The sequence below is a fragment of the Homo sapiens genome, chromosome 20 (genome assembly GCF_000001405.40).
Source record: "Homo sapiens chromosome 20, GRCh38.p14 Primary Assembly".
Lineage (NCBI taxonomy): Eukaryota > Metazoa > Chordata > Mammalia > Primates > Hominidae > Homo > Homo sapiens.
The window spans coordinates 1,685,470-1,694,324 of NC_000020.11; the positions used below are offsets into that span (position 1 = coordinate 1,685,470).

At 43.0% G+C, this 8,855-nt stretch overlaps 1 protein-coding gene across 1 annotated transcript in view; it reads right to left on the minus strand.

The window, feature by feature from the left end:
• Positions 1-986, minus strand: part of SIRPG (signal regulatory protein gamma) — a 57,304-nt gene extending 56,318 nt beyond the window's left edge. Inside the window, exon 1 of the mRNA XM_011529286.3 lies at positions 863-986. The gene's annotated coding sequence lies outside the window, so the exon portion shown is untranslated. The remainder of the gene's footprint in view (positions 1-862) is intronic.
• Positions 987-8,855: the final 7,869 nt, after the last annotated feature.

An 8,855-nucleotide genomic window follows, 5' to 3' on the forward strand; every position in this document is an offset into this window, starting at 1 on the left:
GAGCAGAGACGGCCATCTACGAGCCAGTAAGAAAGACCTCAGTACAGACTAACCCTGCCAACACCTTGATCTTGCATTCAGCCTCCAAAAGTGCAAGGAAGTAAATGTCTGTAATTTTAGCTGCCCAGTCTGTAGTACTTTGTTATGCAAGCCCTAGGAAAGGATTACAGGGCCCAGAAAGCAGCAAATTCCTTCTTAAAGAGGAAGAGGGCACAAAAAAATGGGTGGTAACACTGAGATTACAGAGGAGTGGGAAGCAGGGGGAACAGAGGGCAAAGTATGCAGCATCCTGAAGAAGGACAGTGGCTGAACATCCCCGGGAAACATTGCTCCCCTGCCCAACTCAGGCACTGTTTCAGACTTCACATCCTCAGGGTGCTGAACAGAGGGCTGAGCCTGGAGCCACACACCCTGTCAGGCTGTCTCTCAGCTCACTCTGTGGCCTTGGGCAGATGGTTTTGCCTCCTGGAGCCTCAAGGCTCCAGCCTCAAGGCTCCTGCTCCTCAGTTTGGGGCAGCAGAAGGGTTCCCAAAACCTACTGCTCAATATTTGACAGGAACCAGGTCTGCTTCTGGTAAGGATTTAAATAATGATTCTTCTGTGTTTGTCAAATGAAATATTATTTTTAAAATGTAACTAATTATGGTGCTGGTTGAAGGATCACCTGATTCCATCCCTTGGTAGCCAGCTGCAGATCCACAGAGAAAGTGCTCAGCTCCCTGATCTTCTGCTCTCAGACAATGCCCAGTCCTTGACCTACCTTGGGAGCACTTGTGTTTGTCTGGAATCCCTGAAAGCCCAGGGGCAGGGATTTCAGGGCTGCAAGCAGAGAGAAAGGGTTCTAGCCCAAGGCAGTGCTCACCTGTGCATCCCCGCAGCAGAATCAGCAGCAGGAAAGGACCAGGAGGGTGGGGCCAGGAGGCTGGGATGGGTATCCTGAAGACCTCAGGAGCCTGCTCCGTCCAAATATCTGTGCTGGGGAGATGTCAAACTTCTCTGAGGAGAGAAGACAAGCACTGTCTCCCTTGATTCAAGAGGAAGTGGCAATGATAGAGTACAACAGTGAAATAGAAATCAGGCACAGTAGGCAGTTACAACGCAAACAGTTACTCATGCTCCATTCTCAGGAGAATCAGACAGGCTTAGCAGAAATAGTGCTTCCTGCACACCTTGACCATATGTTCTCTCCACATGGCCCCTAACACCATCTTCAGGTCTTCTTGGTGATTCACCATTTGGGGCTGTTAGTTCAAGAAGGACCTGTGATTAAGAACTGTTTTCTAAACTTCCCATCTCAAGACCCTAGGATGTTGCTGGCTTGTTTTCTTCTTCTGCACCAGGCCTCAACCAAGTGCTACTCAGTTCGGGGCAGGAGGAGGGTTCACAAAAGCTACTGCCAATATTTGAGAGGAACCAGGTGTGCTTCTGAAATTGTTCCCTATTCCAAACTTTTATCAATGTAACTGGCAAAACTTAGCCCAAATTCAGTCTAATCTGGGACCTTAGCAGCACTTTCATGTGTCTGCATCCAGCAGAAGGAATCATCTCCTGACTTCCTCCAGGAGAGGAAATGGGTTTAGGTTAATAAGGATATGCTTTGTGGGCTGAGGTGGGAATTATGGTTATGGGTTATGGAGAGGGGATAGGGTTATGATGGGGGGAGAATATGGTATGCAATTTCCTGGGGCAGTCACATCAATAGTCTTTGTTTTGCACACAGAACACCTATTCCATCCACCACTGCATTTAGATTGGAGGTGAGGAGAGAGGAAGAATAAATACTCCAACCAAGAGGATGTGTTAAGGATTTGAGGAAGTCACTGGGCCCTCCTAGGCTCAGTTTTGTTCTCCAAATTGCAAATAATAGGTTTTTCACTGCTGTGTTTTTGTGGATGTTAAAAGAGATCATGACTGTACCATACCTGAAACCCAGTAGGTCATTATTGATACCATGGTGCCAGGTGAAGAGAAGGAACTCAAAATTTTTTGAATGGATCCCTACTGCAGGCTGAGTTTCCCACCAGTGGCTTTCTCCGAGATTTCCAGGCCCCTGAGACCCAGCTTATATGGTGTACTTGAAATATCCCTGCCACTCTGAGATCAGTTGCTTCCTCTGGATCCTCTGCACCCTGCTTCTTGTCAATGCATAAATGAATTCCTCTCTCACAATATCGAGCTGTGTGACTTTAAACAAGACACCTAAGTTCTCTGAGCCTTAGCTTGATTATATGTAAATAGAGGTTATAACATGTACCTTGTAAAGGTATGGTAGGAATAATATAAACCGTACCGAATGCTCAACTCATAATTAATTATAACTAAAAAATGGTGGCTATATTAATATGTTGTGTACAGCAAGCATTCACTGCTTCCCTGTGACACTTGTGCTTTAGAAAAATTACCCTGTTAGGAGAAATGGTTTCTCCTTCATCATCTATGACTAAGAAAGGCCTGTGTGGAACCCTCCCTGTCACATGCTGGGTTTGAAGTCCTTCATCTCTCAGAAGTAATTGTCAAATGAAATTATAAAAATTATCATATTTCCATCCAAATTTCTTTTTCTATGTGGCAGATGTACAGAGAGTGAAATCTTCACCTCCTGCTCCATACCCACAGAAACGAATATAAAAAATGATAAAATTACCTTAATCAATGTCTACACTTTAAAACAAGAAAGTAGTCTCTATATGCCATGAAGGAATAGTAGAAACTATTATTTTTTGCAGATGTCCTGGACACCAGACATGGTATCCGGCATTTTATGTCAGTTACCTCATTAATTCAACACTCTGACCCTGAGGTAAGTGCTACCATTAACCTTCATGTAAAGGTGAGAAAATCTGAAGCACACAGAGAGTAGCAAGTTTGCTCAAGATCACTCAGCTTTTGGATTGAGACATAGGCTGTCACACTGCACAGCCTTCACTTTTAATGTTTGCACTATGACCACCTCTCATAAGACAGGAGGGACATCCCTCTAGAAGTAAGCAGTGAAGAAGCCACAGACTCAGTTAGGAGCAGCCCCCACAGTGAGGCTGGGGCAGGTGCCATGCTTCACGAGCCCCTGACAACCCAAGATCACATGGGGCATTATTCCTGCAAAGACGGCAGTGCAAGCAGAAATCACTAAAGATTTGGGGAACAGCAGCACCACAAGTGATAGCTAACCAATCCAAGAACAACAATAACTTAAAAACAATAAAACAGTAATAAAAAGAACTTCACACCTGAGAACACGTTAAAAAATAAAATATGAGAAGGTGTTCAAGATTAGAATATTTAATAACCTATAAACATAACAAAAAAAGCAAATCCATAAAACAAAACCAACCATGTATAAAACAAGAATAGGTAGACATGGAGTACAACAGGTATCTCGGCAATGTAACAAAGCAGAGGATTTTAAATATATATATAGGTTTTTAAAAATAACTAGGTTGACATATTAGTTTGTTCTTGCATTGCTATACAGAAATACCTGAGACTGGGTGATCTATAAAGAACAGGGGTTTAATCGGCTCGCTGTTCCACAGGCTCTGCAGAAAGCATGATGCTTGTACCTTCTTGGCTTCAGAGGAAGTCTCAGGAAACTTACAAACATGGCAGAAGGCGAAGGGGAAGTAGGCTCATCTTACATGGTCACAGCAGGAGGGACAGGGAGAGTAGGGAGGTATCACACACTTTTAAACAACCAGATCTCATGAGAACTTGCTTACTATCATGAGAACAGCACCAAGAGGGAAATCCACACCCAAGATCCAATCACCTCCCACCAGGCCCACCTCCAACATTGGAGATTACAATTCTACATGAGATTTGGTGGGGATACAGATCCAAACCATATCAGCTGAGTAAGCTGACTATACATAAATGAGTAGTAAGTAGTGAGCTGGGTCATCACGTAGGGGCCATCTCCTAGGACCCAGCACAAAGAGACACATCCAAACAAAGTAATGTAAACATGTATAAATATAGCAATAACAAAGAAATACCATAACATACTTTGCAAAATTTTGTGCTAGAAATATTAATATCTTAAGAAGTATAATTTAAGGCAAAAAGCACAAATGGTTGAAAGAGGAATATTTCCTTTTATGAAAGTAACAACTACCCGGAAGATATGAGTCACAAAATATTATACCTCCAAAACTATAATTTGGAATATATGACTCAAATATTGATAGAATAGTTTCAATAATTTGGCAGAATCTGTACTTGGAGCAGCAAAGTGACTTCCTGTGAACTCCAGTCCTTCAATAAAGATCTATTAGATGCATAGATGCTATGTGAGTGAAAAAATTTTGTGGAAATCACGTGGAGAATTGAGTTTCAAATTTAAGTTGACTTCGTGCAGTACAGTTACAGCCTGAATGTTTGAGAGAAGCAGGAGCCTGGGAAACCATAAGCTAAAATTCTCCTTCTGCGAAATTTAGCCCTGCACTCATGACACAAGGTGCAGATAATGAGATATGGCTGTGGGAAAAGGGAGGAGTCAGTGGATGTTTGAGAAGAGCACAGTTTAAACTTGTGGGCTTAGGAATCAGAACTTCTAGGTTTGAATTTAGTTCTACCAGTCCTGGCTGTGTGACCTAGGGGTATTTGTTTAACATCTCTGTTTCTTCAGTTCCCTAAAATGGAAATAATAGTCATATCAACTTCATAGGTTTGTTAAGGCCGTAAAATGGATTAATATATGCAAATTACTTAATAACAGCTGACCGTGTTCCAAAAGTTAGATATGATTTTTATTAGGTGGTATTTTGGTAATAGTAATAGTTTTAAAAAACAGACTCTCTGCCCTCAAGGATTTACGATGCAGTGCAACAACCCTGGCCAATGGCTGGGGGATGTGCAGGTACCACCACATGATGAGTGTGGGTCATGTGTCCAGCCTTATAATCACAAAGTCATTACTAGCACCAGGGTCGTGGTGTGGGCTTGGCCTCAGGGGGAATCACTATGACTAGGGCAAGGCACATCCCAGTAAGTGTCTACACAGATGTTTATGGAAAAGGAGCTCCAAGTCTTGTCTCATGCAGGGATGGGAGAGAAGAAAGTGCTCCCAGAGAATGTGACACAGGCAAAAATCTTCACATGAAAGGAACTTTTGCAGAGATTTCACCACTTTGAAAGTACAAAGGGGAAGAGCTGGCAAGATGGTCGAATAGGAGCAGTGCCAGTCTGCAGCTCCCAGTGAGACCAACAGAGAAGGTGGGTGATTTCTGCATTTCCAACTGAGGTACCCAGCTCATCTCACTGGGACGGGTTAGACAGTGGGTGTGGCCCACGGAGGGTAAGCAGAAGCAGGGTGGGGCGTCACCTCACCTGGGAAGTACAAGGTTTTGGGGAACTCCCTACCCTAGCCAAGGGAAGCCGTGATGGACTATGCTGTGAGGGACAGTGCTATCTGGTCCAGATACTATGCTTTTCCCATGGTTTTTGCAACCTGAAGACCAGGAGATTCCCTTGGGTGCCTAGACCACCAGGGCCCTGGGTTTCAAGTACAAAACTGGGCGGCCACTTGGGCAGACACAGAGCTAGCTCCAGGAATTTTTTTTTTTGTACCCCAGTGGCACCTGAAATGACAGTGAGACTGGAAAGGGGGCTGAAGTCAGGGAGCCAAGTGGTTTAGCTCAGTGGATCCCACCCCCATGGAGCCCAGCAAGCAAAGATCCACTGGCTTGAAATTCGTGCTGCCAGCACAGCAGACTAAGGTTGACCTAGGATGCTCAAGCTTGGTTGGCGGAGGGGCATCTGCCATTACTGAGGCTTGAGTAGGTGGCCACCAGGAAGTTCGAACTGGGCAGAACCCACCACAGTGCAGCAAAGCCACTGTACCCAGACTGCCTCTCTAGATTCCTCCTCTCTTGGCAGGGCATCTCTGAAAGAAAGGCAGCAGCCTCAGTCAGGGGCTTATAGATAAAACTCACATCTCCCTGGGAAAGAGCACCTGAAGGAAGTTGTGGCTGTGGTTGCAGCTTCAGGAGACTCAAAGTTTTCTGCCTGCCAGCTCTGAAGAGACCAGCGGATCTCCCAGCACAGCACTGCTCTGATAAGGGGCTGACTGCCTCCTGAAGTGGGTCCCTGACCCCCATGCCTCCTGACTGGGAGATACCTCAGAAATAACACCACACATGTACACCATCTGATCTTTGACAAACCTAACAAAAACAAGCAATGGGGAAAGGATTCCCTATTTAATAAATGGTGTTGTGAAAACTGGTTAGCTATATACAAAAAACTGAACCTGGACCCCTTCCTTACACCTTATACAAAAATTAACTCAGGATGGATTAAAGACTTAAATGTAAGATCTAAAACCATAAAAACCCTAGAAGAAAACCTAGGCAATACCATTCAGGACATAGTCATGGGCAAAGACGTCATAACTAAAACACCAAAGCAATTGCAACAAAAGCCAAAATTGACAAATGGAATCTAATTAAACTAAAGAACTTCTGCACAGCAAAAGAAACTATCATCAGAGTGAACAGGTAACCTACAGAATTGGAGAAAATTTTTGCAATCTATCCATGTGACAAAGGGCTGATATCCAGAATCTATAAGGAACTTAAACAAATTTACAAGAAACAAACAAACAACCCCACCAAAAGTGGGAAAGGATATGAACAGACGCTTCTCAAAAGAAGACATTTATGCAGCCAACAAACATATGAAAAAAAGCTCATCATCACTGGTCATTAGAGAAATGCAAATGAAAACCACAATGAGATACCATCTCACGCTAGTTAGAATGGCGATCATTAAAAAGTCAGGAAACAACAGATGCTGGAGAGCATGTGGAGAAATAGAAATGCTTTTACACTGTTGGTGGGAATGTAAATTAGTTCAACCATTGTGGAAGATAGTGTGGTGATTCCTCAGGGATCTAGAACTAGAAATACCATTTGACCCAGCAATCCCATTACTGGGTATATACCCAAAGGATTATAAATCATGCTACTATAAAGACACATACACGTATGTTTATTGCAGCACTATTCACAATAACAAAGACTTGGAACCAACCCAAATGCCCATCAATGATAGACTGGATAAAGAAAATGTGGCACATATACACAATCAAATACTATGCAGCCATAAGAAAGAATGAGTTCATGTCCTTTGCACGGACATGAGTGATGCTGGAAACCATCATTCTCAGCAAACTAACACAGGAACAGAGAACCAAACACCGCATGTTCTCATTTATAAGTGGGAGTTGAACAATGAGAACACATGTATGCAGGGAGGGGATCATTACACACCGGGGCCTGTTGGGGGGTGGGGGGGCAAGGGGAGGAATAGCATTAGGAGAAATACATAATGTAGATGATGGGTTGATGGGTGCAGCAAACCACCATGGCACATGTATGCCTATGTAACAAACCTGCACATTCTGCACATGTATCCTAGAACTTAAAGTATAATTTAAAAAACAAACAAACAAACAAATTGCAAAGGATAAGATGTTGGAAACAAATTCAAAATTAGGAAGATGATGAAACACCAAGGTAGAAACAATGCTTGCTCCATATCAGAAATGCACAAGAAGGTGGCAAGCACTGATCCAACTACTCTTGATACATTTTTACAAATCAATAAAACACTTGAACTCTCAATGTTTCTAATGCTTTGAATTACAGTGCACTAATAAATGTTTATTTCATTACATTTTTATTGCCTCCTACGTTTGTAACTTTGTTTCTAATATTTTGACAAAAAATTGTAAAAGTCACAGAATGATCATTGTTTTTCCAATTGGATATGGAGATTGCTTTCCCAGGTTTCAGGTTGCACGGTCATTTTTACAATCCTGCATTGCCATGAAAAGTGAGAACTGCCTGTATTCAGAATAATACAGATGGTAATATGTGCTAAGGAAAAATTCATCATGTTAAGATAAATTAGAGTATCAGGGTAGGGAGGGAAATTGATATTTTATACAGGGTGGTTTACATTAGTAGACATTAGGCAGAAAGAGTTGAAGGAGGGATGAAGGGAACCATGTAGCTGTGTTGGAGAAGAAGCAGAGGAGTATACAACTAGACTTTTCCAAAGAATCACTGTGGCTGAAAACTGAAAGCCAGTAGAGGCAATTGGAATGCTACCAGAAGAGATGATGCTGGCTGCGACAGGGAAGGGTGGTGGAGGTGAGAAATGCATGAATTAGGCATGTAACTCAGTGCTGTGCTGGAGCAGCTGAGAGCCAATTGTTAAATTTTAGGAATTTTGCAATCTGGTTGTTTAACTGTTGATGGCTTGAAACTGTCTATGTTGGGAATTTTCATACTACAGAGATTGGCAAGCACTACAAATCAGCTTTTTGTTTTTCCCTTTCAGAAAGTCCATTGTTAAACATTTACTGTCTCATATAAGTGGACATAAGCATTTCAAAGGCAGAATTGAATGCAGAGTATAAAAAAAAGAGAGTGAGAAATCAAGGAGGACTCCAGGATGTTGGACTGTGGCAGCATTTCTGCCACGAGCAGCAGGGCTGGGAAGGCTGCAGGATGCTAGCAGAACTAGTGTCCCATCACAGAGAAAGCAGGGAGAGCTTCTTTCTTTCTTGGTGTGAGACAAAGAGGAAGGAGAATCATTTTTTCTTAAAATTGGGATGGGGGTTCATTTGTATTCAGGAGGCAATAGTGAACCTCAACAAGGCTGGGAAGTTGGAGTAGGCAGGAATCCAGATGGCAGAATAACTCTTGAGGGGCTAGAGAGAGTCTGTGGTTTATGGCCAGTCCCAAGGCGATGGATGCAAGGAGTCCTAATGTGTTTAGATTTGGCGTGTTTCCCACATCCTAGGGAGGTGTCGTGAGTCACTCCCCAGAGCCCCATCCCATGGCCTCTGC